The sequence below is a fragment of the Homo sapiens genome, chromosome 20 (genome assembly GCF_000001405.40).
Source record: "Homo sapiens chromosome 20, GRCh38.p14 Primary Assembly".
NCBI lineage: Eukaryota > Metazoa > Chordata > Mammalia > Primates > Hominidae > Homo > Homo sapiens.
This window is the reverse complement of record NC_000020.11, coordinates 63,939,829-63,952,212: the sequence shown is the minus strand read 5'-3', so window position 1 is coordinate 63,952,212 and position 12,384 is coordinate 63,939,829. Positions and strand designations below refer to the sequence as shown.

At 62.7% G+C, this 12,384-nt stretch overlaps 1 protein-coding gene and 2 non-coding genes across 49 annotated transcripts in view, besides 8 other annotated features; all 3 read left to right on the top strand.

Moving 5' to 3' along the window:
* Nucleotides 1-12,384, top strand: part of UCKL1 (uridine-cytidine kinase 1 like 1) — a 16,588-nt gene extending 4,204 nt beyond the window's left edge. The window contains exons 1-16 of one of the 47 annotated variants that reach the window (XM_047440231.1): nucleotides 1,026-1,454; nucleotides 3,738-3,988; nucleotides 5,573-5,760; nucleotides 5,946-6,052; nucleotides 6,214-6,408; nucleotides 6,491-6,562; nucleotides 7,479-7,668; nucleotides 7,755-7,816; nucleotides 9,721-9,743; nucleotides 11,005-11,103; nucleotides 11,170-11,263; nucleotides 11,357-11,419; nucleotides 11,497-11,619; nucleotides 11,728-11,835; nucleotides 11,907-12,063; nucleotides 12,158-12,384. In XM_047440231.1, coding sequence (XP_047296187.1) covers nucleotides 5,990-6,052; nucleotides 6,214-6,408; nucleotides 6,491-6,562; nucleotides 7,479-7,668; nucleotides 7,755-7,816; nucleotides 9,721-9,743; nucleotides 11,005-11,103; nucleotides 11,170-11,263; nucleotides 11,357-11,419; nucleotides 11,497-11,619; nucleotides 11,728-11,835; nucleotides 11,907-12,063; nucleotides 12,158-12,237 — 1,329 coding nt within the window. In that variant the 5' untranslated portion in view covers nucleotides 1,026-1,454; nucleotides 3,738-3,988; nucleotides 5,573-5,760; nucleotides 5,946-5,989 and the 3' untranslated portion in view covers nucleotides 12,238-12,384. Of the gene's footprint in view, nucleotides 1-1,025; nucleotides 1,455-3,737; nucleotides 3,989-5,569; nucleotides 5,761-5,945; nucleotides 6,053-6,213; nucleotides 6,409-6,490; nucleotides 6,563-6,686; nucleotides 7,131-7,478; nucleotides 7,669-7,754; nucleotides 7,817-8,191; nucleotides 8,657-9,720; nucleotides 11,264-11,356; nucleotides 11,420-11,496; nucleotides 11,620-11,727; nucleotides 11,836-11,906; nucleotides 12,064-12,157 lie in introns of those variants that run through there. The other 46 variants (NR_148437.2, NR_148439.2, NR_148438.2 and 43 more) reach the window with 46 other exon arrangements.
* Nucleotides 1,842-2,380: an enhancer, noted in NCBI's record as "H3K4me1 hESC enhancer chr20:62581186-62581724 (GRCh37/hg19 assembly coordinates)". NCBI's record gives its function as "activates a minimal SCP1, AML or CMV promoter by ChIP-STARR-seq in naive H9 embryonic stem cells {active_cell/tissue: H9 hESC(naive)}" and the evidence as "EXISTENCE:reporter gene assay evidence [ECO:0000049][PMID:30033119]".
* Nucleotides 2,381-2,919: an enhancer, noted in NCBI's record as "H3K4me1 hESC enhancer chr20:62580647-62581185 (GRCh37/hg19 assembly coordinates)". NCBI's record gives its function as "activates a minimal SCP1, AML or CMV promoter by ChIP-STARR-seq in naive H9 embryonic stem cells {active_cell/tissue: H9 hESC(naive)}" and the evidence as "EXISTENCE:reporter gene assay evidence [ECO:0000049][PMID:30033119]".
* Nucleotides 2,730-2,779: an enhancer, noted in NCBI's record as "active region_18257". NCBI's record gives its function as "activates an Ori minimal core promoter by ATAC-STARR-seq in GM12878 lymphoblastoid cells {active_cell/tissue: GM12878}" and the evidence as "EXISTENCE:reporter gene assay evidence [ECO:0000049][PMID:35858748]".
* Nucleotides 2,840-2,899: an enhancer, noted in NCBI's record as "active region_18256". NCBI's record gives its function as "activates an Ori minimal core promoter by ATAC-STARR-seq in GM12878 lymphoblastoid cells {active_cell/tissue: GM12878}" and the evidence as "EXISTENCE:reporter gene assay evidence [ECO:0000049][PMID:35858748]".
* Nucleotides 2,920-3,458: an enhancer, noted in NCBI's record as "H3K4me1 hESC enhancer chr20:62580108-62580646 (GRCh37/hg19 assembly coordinates)". NCBI's record gives its function as "activates a minimal SCP1, AML or CMV promoter by ChIP-STARR-seq in primed H9 embryonic stem cells {active_cell/tissue: H9 hESC(primed)}" and the evidence as "EXISTENCE:reporter gene assay evidence [ECO:0000049][PMID:30033119]".
* Nucleotides 4,460-4,509: an enhancer, noted in NCBI's record as "active region_18255". NCBI's record gives its function as "activates an Ori minimal core promoter by ATAC-STARR-seq in GM12878 lymphoblastoid cells {active_cell/tissue: GM12878}" and the evidence as "EXISTENCE:reporter gene assay evidence [ECO:0000049][PMID:35858748]".
* Nucleotides 8,470-9,181: an enhancer, noted in NCBI's record as "H3K4me1 hESC enhancer chr20:62574385-62575096 (GRCh37/hg19 assembly coordinates)". NCBI's record gives its function as "activates a minimal SCP1, AML or CMV promoter by ChIP-STARR-seq in naive and primed H9 embryonic stem cells {active_cell/tissue: H9 hESC(naive and primed)}" and the evidence as "EXISTENCE:reporter gene assay evidence [ECO:0000049][PMID:30033119]".
* Nucleotides 9,182-9,895: an enhancer, noted in NCBI's record as "H3K4me1 hESC enhancer chr20:62573671-62574384 (GRCh37/hg19 assembly coordinates)". NCBI's record gives its function as "activates a minimal SCP1, AML or CMV promoter by ChIP-STARR-seq in primed H9 embryonic stem cells {active_cell/tissue: H9 hESC(primed)}" and the evidence as "EXISTENCE:reporter gene assay evidence [ECO:0000049][PMID:30033119]".
* MIR647 (microRNA 647) lies at nucleotides 9,487-9,582 on the top strand. Its single transcript, NR_030377.1, has one exon. It is a non-coding gene; the product is annotated as a microRNA 647 (primary transcript).
* Nucleotides 10,669-10,748, top strand: MIR1914 (microRNA 1914). The gene has a single exon (NR_031735.1). It is a non-coding gene; the product is annotated as a microRNA 1914 (primary transcript).

The following is a 12,384-nucleotide window of genomic DNA, read 5'->3' as shown; positions in this document are numbered from 1 at the left end:
CGGACTCTGCGCCCCTGCTCAGGACAGCCTCCGCCTCCCCGACCCTGGGCTGTCTCCTGCCCACTTCCCAAGTGAGGGATGTAGCCGCCTCCTGGGAGCAGAATGAGGAGAGGAAGCACCTGTGGACACAGACAGATGGGCCGGTCCTGCCTCTGAGGCAGCTCCCAGGAGTGGCCTACTATTGAGGAGTATGACCTCCATGTGGAGTCTTCCCTTTTCCCTGAGCTTCTGGCAGCCCCTGCCTCAGTACTAGAAGCTCCAAGAGAAACCCATGGTAGGAGGAAGCTGACACCCATGGCTGACCTGTCTGCCCCTGGGAGAGAGCTTAGGGCTGCCAGGACTTCTCTGTGCACATCCTTGACTGACTCTGCGGAGGGTGGGGCCGAAACCCTGTTTCTGTGGGCGGGGAGGTGGCTGTGTCCCCTGTGCCCTGCTGAGCCCTGGGCGGGGAGGTGGCTGTGTCCCCTGTGCCCTGCTGAGCCCTGGGCGGGGAGGTGGCTGTGTCCCCTGTGCCCTGCTGAGCCCTGGGCGGGGAGGTGGCTGTGTCCCCTGTGCTCTGCTGAGCCCTGGGTGGTGAGCCCTGGGTGGCTGCAGGTCCCTGCAGGATCCCCCGTGAGTGGGGGTAGGGCAAGGCAGTTATTTTCAGATGGTGCCAGAGGGTGGAGTTTCAGATTTGTTTATGCCTGTCGGAAGCACTCTGGGGCTAGGGATGGGGTGCCCAGCTCAGCACTGACGTTCAGGACACCTGGCCAAGAGGCGCCTCAGATATCCTTGTCCTGCTGCGGGGGGTTCACTCTGTAGCCCCAGGCAGGCCGGGGTACTGTAGCTTTTTCCAGGGGATCCAGGAGGGGTGCAGGCACACGGCGCACAGTGGTCCTCCGCAGGCCTGCGGTCCTAGGCTGGCCGAATGTGCCAGCCCACACACAGGAGGGGGCAGTTCACACCGAGGGCTGGCCCGAGGATTGTCAGGGCCACACCAGGCAAAGCCAGCGCTATTAATATCAGGCATACACAAGCCCCCAGCTGGGTGATCCTCTTATGCCTGTGGCCTTGGCCTCTGAGGACGGCAGTGAGTGCTGTTCCCTCAGTACGGTGGAGGCTTCAAGGGCCTCCTAGCTGCTGTGCCTCTGCTGACATTTGGCAGGCAGCTTCTGCCAGCCAAGGGTCTCACCCCAGCCACCCGGCTCTGCACCCACTGTGCTGCCCACAGGAGTGGTCCTGCCCATGGAAGGGCCAGTTCAGGTGGCCGGAGCTCCTGAGCTGCCCTAGGGGACTGCTGTGGGTCTGAGGTGGTGATGTCCCCCACGGCTGCCTGCGCCTGAGCCCCCACGCATCCACCCCTGGGGCCACTCTGCTGTTCAGGAGCACCCACCCGTGTCCTCGACCATGAGCAGCCCCCCAGCTTACCCTGGCATCAGGATCTCAGGGTGCCGGGCCCTTGGAGCAGAAGGCAGGTGAGTCTCGACTGGAGGTCTCTGCCGTGAGGGGCACCCACTTGTGCTGTGGTCCTGGCCACTCAGACCTGTGTTTGGTGCATGTCTGTGGATATCAGGAATCAAACAGGCTGGCAGGTGCTCTCGGGCACCGGGCAGAGCCCAGGGTCGAAGGTGCCATTTTGCTTGAGGCTGTTGGTCTGGGCGCGTCTCTCTTGTGTTGGTTACGGCTTGGAACCCTCCGGGTTGGAATTAACCTTTTGTTGTTGTGGCCAGAAGCACTCCTGTCCATCTGTGCACAGGAAGTGAGGTTTGCTGTGCAACTTTCTCCTCTGTTTTTATTTATTTTTAATATTCTAAAGTTTTTTGTGTGGAGACCGTCTCACCATGTTGCCCAGGCTGGTCACGAACTGCTGACCTCAAGCAGTCCTCCCACTGCAGCCTCCAAAGGACTGTTCAAGGCATGAGCCACCACACCCGGCCAACTTTCCTGTCAAGGGGTGCTGCTTGTGAACCGTGGGGTGAGGCTTTGTCCTTGGCTCTGAGACAGACCAGCTTTGGAGAAGGTAGTGGGGCTGGGCTCGGTGCAGACTCAGCCTGACGCCGTCACAGGCCTGCGGTGAGGCGGGCTTCTGGCAGATCGTCCTGGCCTGCTTGTGACCGTTCCGCTGCATGGGCACCACTCCCAGCAGAAGGGCCAGCGCCTGGCTGTCAGCAGCGTGTGCCTCAGGAGGGATCTGCGGTGACGGGGTTGTTACTTCAGTAGGATGAGGAAGAGTCACAAATGCGGGGTTGGAAGGCTCCTGCTGGAGAGGACTGAGCACCAGGAGACTACCAATGGGGAGCAGGCACGGTGCCAGCCCGGCCTCTGCCGTCTGGTGTCTGTCCCTCAAGTTAGTCCCAGCTTTGTGCATTAGCGGGCTCACCCTCGGAATCCAGGGTGCATGGCGGAAGTGCAGGCAGCCGCAAGGGCGGTGCTGGGAGCTTCGCTGGGGAGCCTCTTTGCAAGTCAGATTGTGTCGGGGCTTCCTCCCTGAGGTTGAAGACAGTGGGTGATTCCCTGCAGATGCTGGGGTTAGGCATAGAGGGGAGGGGCCGCCTGGATTTGTTCTCTGCCCACCACGGCCTCCAGGGCCACCAGAGCGTTTCTGTCTGCTGGGAACCTGCTGCTGAACCTAAGCAGGACTGCCCCACTGTGCACAGCTGCGGGCCATCCATCACCACCTGCTGGGAGGGGTGGCCCCGGGGGTGACCCTTGCAGGCCCTTTTGTTTACTGCTGGTGCGTTGGTCATGTGTGTCCAGGGCCGCTGGGAGGTCGTGGCTTCTGTTTGCTGGGTCCCGTCTTCCTTCTTGACTGACAGCCCTTCAGGCAGACCTGAGTGGGGTGCAGGTCCCATTCCAGCTGCAGCCCCCGCATGCGGTCTCGGGGAAGTGCCGTGGCACCTGCTCCCCCTTCAGGGCACCGTGCAGTGGTGCTGTCCCCCGGGCCGCCCTCGCCTGGTCGTCTTGGCGCCTGGCCTTGTTGTTTGTGCTCAGCCCTGCTGCTGACGTCACCACTCAGCTCCAGAACGATCTCCGGAGCCGAGGTGAGGCTGAGTGAGGCTGCCTGGCTGATTATTCCCCGTGCTCACTCCCCTGATGGTGGCATGGAAACAGGCAGACCTGTCTGTCTCTGAGGAGAGGCACAGCGCGTTTTCCCCGTCAGGTGCAGACGGCGGGTCTCTTTGCTGCTTTAAATGCTGCCACACTGTTCTCTGGGCCCAGGAGAGCTGTCACGTGTCGGGCTGGGCTCCCTCCTTCCACTGCCCCCTGTGTGTGCACACGGACACTGTCCTCCTGGCTGTGGGTGTCACGGGTGCACGGGGAGGAGTGCCCAGGTGGGAATCAGTGTTCCCACGCTGGAGATGCCACCTTCAAAGACAGACTACGGTTTGGTTTATGGCAACAAAGTGGCACCTGCTTTAAAAACATTCAAATGTGACAGAAGTTGCTGTTCCAAATCTTGGTGGCCAGAGAGTGATCATGGTTAGGGCTGGTGTGTGCACACGCTTCCCTCTCACACACACCCCCTCCCTTACACGCCCCCTCGGTCTCACACACACCCCCTCCCTCTCACACACGCCCCTCCCTCTCACACACGCCCCTTCCCTCTCACACACGCCCCTCCCTCTCACACACGCCCCCTCCCTCTCACACACATCCCCTCCCTCTCACACACGCCTCCCTCCTCACACCGAGGCGCATGGCGGTGAGCGTCCTTCGTTTCCTGGATTTTATACAGATGGAATCATCTCTCCTTCCAGCTTGCTTTTCTCCCCTGACCATGCTCTGAGGATGCCGTTCCCTGTCCGCACCTGTGTTCTGTGTCGTTTTCGGGCGTAACTGGCATCTGTGGAGCGTTCCATTTCCTGTGGAACTCCGGAGCGCGGTGGACAGACTGTGCCGCTGCAGGAAGCTACAAAGAGGCGGTCCTGCCGTTTGCGGAGCTTTCCCTCTTGCCCCCGGGGGCTCTGCCCTGCACAGACAGTGACTGTGGTTCTGAGTTGCTCCCCATGTGAGTGGGCCATGACCTGCAGGGCCAAGGTGCTGACCCCTGAGAGCTTCCCAGGGAGACCTGAAACATGGTGCTGAGGCCACCACAGCCAGCTCGGTGTCTCCTGGGCAGTGGCCACAAGTGCCTTCTGCCGGACCTGTGTCTTGTCTCATGGCATCTTCACACCAGGCTCTGCATCTGAGCCTCTCAGAACAGACTGGGCAGGCGCCACGTTGATGCCCCCCCAACCCCCCAGCAGGGCACTCGGCCATATTGAGCCTCCCCAGAGGCTGCCCCTCCCAGGGCTCCATGGCCAGTCACGGCCCCCTGCCCACTTGAGGTTGTAAACTGACGGAGAAGTTGGCAGGCGCCTGAGTGCCGGTCCAGCACGTGCAGTGCATGTAGATGCCACACAGCCTAGGCCTGTGTCTTCCTCCCGTTGATTTCCCCCTTGCAGACTTTAGGGGCTCCCCCTTACCCTGGGCAGGCTCACGGCAGCCCAGACAGGTGGCAGCACTTTCCTCTCTGGTGTTTGCCAGATGCCGGAGGTTTCTGTCTTGGGGACCCAGGAGGGGCCACAGCAAGAATGAATGGGGTTCCAATAAGGCTCCCAGCGCAGGGTCCCCCATCCGGCACTCTGACAGCCAGAGAGGCCAGGCCGAGGCACTGTGCTGGGCCTGCTGTCACTGCAGGAGAATCAGGTCCTGGCTGAGCCCTCTGCCTCTCTCCCTGAGCCCTTCAGCCTGGTCCTGTCTGGGGACCTCACCCTCGGTGTGTGCGCACAACCTGGTCTGGTCTCGCCTCCACCCACACGCCGCCCTCACGTCTCCTTGGGCACCCAGCCTTCAGCATGGCAGCGATTTGGCTGCCCAGAGAGTGTGCCGGGTTGCAAGGGAACGTGGTCCATTTTGGGGTCTCACCTGCCTTTCACAGGCCCACCTTGAGTCCCCTAGGGGACAGAGCCTGGCCCAGCCAGTGCCTGTCCACACAGCAGGATGAGCATGGCCCCAAGATAGCGCCTCTCCTCCTTCCCTTGTCCTTGTTTGCTGTTCCTCTGTCCTTGCTGTGTGGACAGTGATGATCTGAGGCCCTGTGCCAGGCTGAGCACTTGGGTCTGTGTGTCCTGTGGCCCAGCTGCAGGCAGGAGGCAGGGTTTTTTTTTTTTGAGGTGGAGTCTCACTCTGTCACCCAGACTGGAGTGCAGTGGCACGATAGCTCATTGCAATCTCCACCTCCCGGGTTCAAGCCATTCTCCTGCCTCAGCCTCCCTAGTAGCTGGGATTACAGGCACCCACCACCGCACCCAGGTAATTTTTTTTTTTTAATTTTTAGTAGAGACGGGTCTTCACCATGTTGGCCAGGCTGGTCTCAAACTCCTGACCTCAAATGATCCACCTGCCTCGGCCTCCCAAAGTACTGGGATTACAGGCATGAGCCACCACGCCCAGCCCAGGCAGAGTTCTTATGTACCCCCAATGAGCCTGCCCGCCTCAGCCATGCCTGTTGAGGGGGTGGGGGGGGTGCCCTGTGGGCCGGCCATGCCAGCGGGTACCTGGGAGGTGGGCAGCTCTGGGCCACATCCGAGTACATCCCTCTCTGCAGCAGCAATGCAGAGTCCCTGGACAGGCTCCTGCCACCTGTGGGCACTGGGCGCTCTCCCCGGAAGCGGACCACCAGCCAGTGCAAGTCAGAGCCTCCCCTGCTGCGTACAAGCAAGCGTACCATCTACACCGCCGGGCGGCCGCCCTGGTACAATGAACACGGCACGCAATCCAAAGAGGCCTTCGCCATCGGTGAGAGCAGCGGGGGGGTGGGACCTGCTGCCGGACGCCTGCCTCCGGCTCCCCTCCAGTGCCTGTGGAGCAGGAGAAGGAAGCCGGGCAACCGCAGGCAGCGGCAGCGGGATGGGCACCTCTGGGACCTATCTGTGCCGGCAGCCTGCCTGTTCCTCACAGAGGGTCTCCACTCCCGCCGGCAGGCTTGGGAGGCGGCAGTGCCTCTGGGAAGACCACTGTGGCCAGAATGATCATCGAGGCCCTGGATGTGCCCTGGGTGGTCTTGCTGTCCATGGACTCCTTCTACAAGGTGGGCCCCCGCCCAGCTCCCCCGAGGACCCCTTTGTCCTCTCCCTGACCCTGGACCCCCTGCAAAAGTAGGTCCCTGGTCTCAGCCCCAGCGTGGCTGCTCCTGGGAGGCCTAGAGCCCCTGTCCGCTGGCATTGGGTGAGGGCCCTACTGTGCCCACAGCTGCTCCACAGCCTCCCCCACCAGGTGCTGACTGAGCAGCAGCAGGAACAGGCCGCACACAACAACTTCAACTTCGACCACCCAGATGCCTTTGACTTCGACCTCATCATTTCCACCCTCAAGAAGCTGAAGCAGGGGAAGAGTGTCAAGGTGCCCATTTATGACTTCACCACGCACAGCCGGAAGAAGGACTGGGTAGGCCAGGGCCCTGCAGAGGGGGCCTCGGGGGGCTGCAGGCACATGAGCCAGGCTCCGCAACTCCTGGGTTTCTTCACAGAAAACACTGTATGGTGCAAACGTCATCATCTTTGAGGGCATCATGGCCTTTGCTGACAAGACACTGTTGGAGGTAAGCACCCGCCGGGAATACCCACCCCGCTGGTATCTCAGCCCTGGCCGCCCTGTCCATGAGGTGTGCGTCCTCCTGCCCTGTCCCCAAGGCCTCCACACTGTATAGGCCTAGGCCAGCCACTCCCTACCCCAACCCCAACCCCAGGCATGCCACAGCTGGGTCCATCTGCCGGCCCCAAAAGGCAGAGCGTGGCTGCCTGAGGCAGTGGTTCCTCTCCACCGGCTGAGGCCTGTGCGCATACCTGGAGTGTCCTTGGCGTTCTCGTCCCTTGCCGTGGTCCTGACGGACAGGTGAGGACCCAGGGCTGGTGTGTTTGAGAGATTTTGCTGTAGCTCAAGGGGGCCTTCAGGACACAGCTGAGTGTGACTCAGGTTGGCCTGATCCCAGGGCCCAGGTCCTGCCCCTTGTACAGGCCCAGAGGACTCCATCATCCGGCACATAGCAGCCCCCAGCCTCCACAAGGCCTCTTCACGGGCCAACTACTGTGTGCTGAGCATGGGGACAGACCCTAAACTCGCCACGTCCCCCATTCCCCAGTGTGTTGGTGCAAGTTACCCCAAGCAAAGTAAGGAGATCACATGTGCCCAGCCCCATTCCTGCCTGATTCCTTAGCCAGCCACCATGCCATGCCTCTTCACCTAAGCCCCTGACGGGCAGCACCGCATCCCCAGACACCCCCACCTCCCCACTCCTTCCCACCTGCCAGGGTGCCCTGGGGAAGTGGCTCGGGCCAGGCCCACGGACCAGGTGCAGACACCCCCACCTCCCCACTCCTCCCCACCTGCCAGGGTGCCCTGGGGAAGTGGCTCTGGCCAGGCCCACGGACCAGGCGGCCTCAGTGCAGGGGCTGGTCCCAGTGTCTCCATGCCCACTGCTGGCATCTGGCCACTCACTGGCCCGCTGTCTCCACCAGCTCCTGGACATGAAGATCTTTGTGGACACAGACTCCGACATCCGCCTGGTACGGCGGCTGCGCCGGGACATCAGTGAGCGCGGCCGGGACATCGAGGGTGTCATCAAGCAGTACAACAAGTTTGTCAAGCCCTCCTTCGACCAGTACATCCAGCCCACCATGCGCCTGGCAGACATCGTGGTCCCCAGAGGTGAGCCTGCTGGGCTGCCTGTTGGGTGGGTGTCGGGCAGGCCAACGGCCCAGCCCCCGGTCACCCGCCCCCCCATCCCGCCCCAGGGAGCGGCAACACGGTGGCCATCGACCTGATTGTGCAGCACGTGCACAGCCAGCTGGAGGAGGTGAGCGGGGTCCCACGTCCCCACGGCCTAGCCCCCAGCCCCTCTACCCACTTCTCCGCTGCCACCACCCCCAGTGGCCTGGTCACCTCATCCCCCTGCGTTCACTGTCCCCTGCCAGGTGCCAGCCCTGAGTGTCCTGAGCCTGCTTGGCCAGTCAGATTGTCCAGCCCAGACCCCATCCCGTTGTGCTGTGCAGGGCCTGGGTTCCCTGAGGAAGCTGGGGTGGGGGTACAGGTGCTCAGGACCCAGCCGAGGGTGCAGCCCGCTCAGCACACCCAGCCTGAGCTTTTGGGAAGACAGGCATGACCTGCTGGCCCAGGATTGTGGGGTTTCACTGCTGAGTCCCACGCCAGGCCAGGCTCCTCTCTTTCTCAGGGGGTCACCCCAGGAGCGACACCCCCACCAGAGGTCCCCTGCTCCCTGAGGCATTCTATGGCTGGGCCTTGGAGCCTGAGTGGCTCTGAACACACTCCCTACCAGGATGTTGAAGGCCTGAGGCCTGCAGAACAGAGCCCAGGGTCCTGGCTCTGATTGCCCCAACGCAGAACTGCAGGTCTGGCCCAGGTGGTCCCCAGGTTACAGGCATTAGAAGCTTGCCACCCCCCATGGCTGGCTGTGTCCCCGCGGGCCTGCAGCATGTCCATTCCTGGGTGGGGGTGGCCTGGCCGCCTGCCCTGGTCACTGACGCGCCACCGTTCCCTTGTGTCTTCCTGTGTTGCTGCCACAGCGTGAACTCAGCGTCAGGTAAGACTTGCACAGCTGTCTGCACAGATGGAGGCACTTCCAACACCTCCAAGGAGCTCTGGGGTCTGGGCTGTGATCCAGCCAGGCAGCTGGCTCTTCCCCAGTCACAGAAGGGGTGGTGTGGAGTGGTCCCAGCCCTGCTTCTGCCTCCCCTTGCTGGCAGATGAGGACACTGAGGCACAGAGACGTGAAGTAGCTTGCCCAGCGTCACGGAGTCCTGACCCTGTCCTGGCCAGACTTTGCTGGAGGCTCCCCTGACTCCTGAGTCTGTCTATGGGATTTGACCCCAGAGAGCACAGCTGTCCTCCTGAGCCAGCACTGCCAGGCCTCTGGGGCAGTGACTACAGACATGTCCCAGCAGCCAGGGAGCCTGCTGTACCTCCTGTGCCCAGCCTCACGGACCAGTCAGCTTTCCCTGGTTGCAGGTGGAGGGCCTCGCGCCTGTCCTCCCACCCACCCGGGTCCTGCTTGCCCCAGCTCTGTCCTCGCAGCCCGCACAGCTCTGCCAGCAGGAACTGGGCAACTGCAGCAAGAAGCTTGGGCTGGGCCGGGGCCGCATCCCACTGTCCCTCCCCAAGGGCAGGCATGCAGGGGGGTCAGCCACAAGGGACCTGCCCTTCTCCCTGCCTTCTGTGGGTTGGGAGGCTCCTGACTGAGCCACCTGGAGGGAGAGCCCTCACATTCAGAGCCCTCCAAAGAGTTTGCCAAATGTTGGAAATGCCTCCAGGGCCCGTCCACCAGCCGTCCAGCTTCCGGTGCCTGCATGAGTCTCCGCTTGGCCCTCTCCTCGGCCTAGGAACCCGCAGGTCTTGTCCCGTCAGGTTCCTCCTGAAGCTTTTGTTCTGAGAGGAAAAACTTTCCAGGGTTTCAAACTTGGAAAAACACCTGAACGCAGCCAGACACATTTTCCGTCGTCTGGTCAGCCAAGGAAGTGTTGGCCTGTGGCTGCACTCACTTCCTTCAGCCCCAGGAAGCCTTGGTCGGGGGCAGGAGGGAGGGTCAGGCAGGGCTGGGGGCCTGACCGCCCACACTCCTCCTCAGGCCTGCGGGGAACGCCCTGCTCCCCAACTAAGCAGCCTTCTCTTTGTTCTCTTCCTTCTCTCTGTAAACCCCCGTTTCCTGCCTTGTTCCCTCCCTGAACATGCTCTTCACCTGGCAAGCAGAGGAAGCTACGTTGGGATATGTGAGCAGTGTGCTCCGTGGTGCTGCTGTGTGACCCGCCTTCCCGTAGCCCCTTGCCCCGCTGCTCCCGCTAGGCCCTCTTTCCTGCTCCTGCCCCGCCCCTTTCCCTGCCGCTGTCACGCCTCTTTTCTGCCCTGCCACACCCCATTTCCGGCCCCGCCCCTTTCCCTGCCGCTGTCACGCCTCTTTTCTGCCCTGCCACACCCCATTCCCGGCCCCGCCCCTTTCCCTGCCGCTGTCACGCCTCTTTTCTGCCCTGCCACACCCCATTCCCGGCCCCGCCCCTTTCCCTGCCGCTGTCACGCCTCTTTTCTGCCCTGCCACACCCCATTCCCGGCCCCGCCCCTTTCCCTGCCGCTGTCACGCCTCTTTTCTGCCCTGCCACACCCCATTCCCGGCCCCGCCCCTTTCCCTGCCGCTGTCACGCCTCTTTTCTGCCCTGCCACACCCCATTCCCGGCCCCGCCCCTTTCCCTGCCGCTGTCACGCCTCTTTTCTGCCCTGCCACACCCAATTCCGTGCCCTGCCTCTTTCCTTCCCCTGCCACACCCAATTCTGTGGCCTGTCGCTTTCCTCTTCCTGCCCCTGCATCACCCCCTTTCCTGCCCCGCCCCATTCCCTGCCCCTGTCATGCCCCTTTCCGGCTTTGCCTCCTCCCTGTCCCACCTCTTTCTTGCCTCCACCCCGCCCTTTTCCTGCCCGCTCCTAGACCTGCTGCTGCCCCGGCCATCCCCAGGCTTGGGCAGCGGGGCGGGACGGGACAGCCAAGAGACACTGAGCCAGCTTTGCCCCCCACCCCCCTCTCTTGAGGGGCCGCGCACCACCTCGGGGAGGAGCCAGGGCGGGGCCTGACCCCACAAAGCTTTAGTTCCCCCGGGGAGAGGCTGGGGACAAGCTACCCATTCTGGGGTATGACACCTATCAGCACGTGTGAGCCCGCCCTGTGCCCGGCCCACTTCTGCTTCCTCTTAGCGCAGGAGGGGTCCCGCACTGGGAGGGGCCCTCACAGCCTACCCCGCTAGCTTTCTGCCTGATGGTGAGCTTGCCCCGTTGTTCGCCGCCATCTTTCGCCTTTGCCTGACAGCTCAGGTAGGGCGACGTCTCCCCCCAGCTCAGCCCCAGGCAGAAGTCAGGCCCGCTCTGCACCTCGTGCTGTGCCTGGCCCGTGTGTTCCCCTCACAGTGACGCACAGCCGTCCTGTGGGGAGGGAGGGCTCTGGGAAAAGACCCCCTTCTTGAGTGTTCCCCATCGGTTTGTCCCCAGGGCTGCGCTGGCCTCGGCACACCAGTGCCACCCGCTGCCCCGGACGCTGAGCGTCCTGAAGAGCACGCCGCAGGTACGGGGCATGCACACCATCATCAGGTGAGGGCCCACCTGGGGACGGGGCGGCCCCGGGCGCGTGCTCCCGCTCAACTGTTGGCCCCACAGGGACAAGGAGACCAGTCGCGACGAGTTCATCTTCTACTCCAAGAGACTGATGCGGCTGCTCATCGAGCACGCGCTCTCCTTCCTGCCCTTTCAGGTTCGTAGCCCGTAGCCCGCGAGGTGGAGGGTGGGTCTTGGAGCCGGTGCGAGCTCCCTGCGCTCACCGGAGTCCTCACCCTGCACCCCACAGGACTGCGTCGTACAGACCCCGCAGGGGCAGGACTATGCGGGCAAGTGCTATGCGGGGAAGCAGGTACCTGCCTGGGCACACCTGGGCGCGGGACAGGCTGCTGGGGCGGGATGTGGGCGCTTAGCCTCCCCTCCCCGCAGATCACCGGTGTGTCCATTCTGCGCGCCGGTGAAACCATGGAGCCCGCGCTGCGCGCTGTGTGCAAAGACGTGCGCATCGGCACCATCCTCATCCAGACCAACCAGCTTACCGGGGAGCCCGAGGTGCCTGGGGGCAGCCGGGGTGATGAGCCCGGGGGTAGGGGGCAGAGGGAGCTCACAGCAAGGGGACGCAGGGAGCCCCACCTGCAGCCTGACCCCTGCTGCCCGCAGCTCCACTACCTGAGGCTGCCCAAGGACATCAGCGATGACCACGTGATCCTCATGGACTGCACCGTGTCCACGGGCGCGGCGGCCATGATGGCAGTGCGCGTGCTCCTGGTGAGTGAGCCCTGGGTAGGCGGGGCAGGTTCAGGCAGAGGTGGGATTTACCTGCCCAATACACTCGGTAGGACCACGACGTGCCTGAGGACAAGATCTTTTTGCTGTCGCTGCTCATGGCAGAGATGGGCGTGCACTCAGTGGCCTATGCATTTCCGCGAGTGAGAATCATCACCACGGCGGTGGACAAGCGGGTCAATGACCTTTTCCGCATCATCCCAGGCATTGGTGAGGCTGCCCGGGCCCTTCAGCCGCACATGAGGGCAGGGTGGGTGGCCCTGGGAGGCCCCACCACACTGGACCCCCCCCCCCCTTTTTCCAGGGAACTTTGGCGACCGCTACTTTGGGACAGACGCGGTCCCCGATGGCAGTGACGAGGAGGAAGTGGCCTACACGGGTTAGCTGCCCAGTGAGCCATCCCGTCCCCACCACCCTCCTCCTGCCTCCTGACCCAGGACTGCTGAATACAAAGATGTTAATTTTTAAAATGTTACTAGTATAATTTATTCTATGCATTTTATAAAATAAATAAAGCTTTAGAAAAATGAA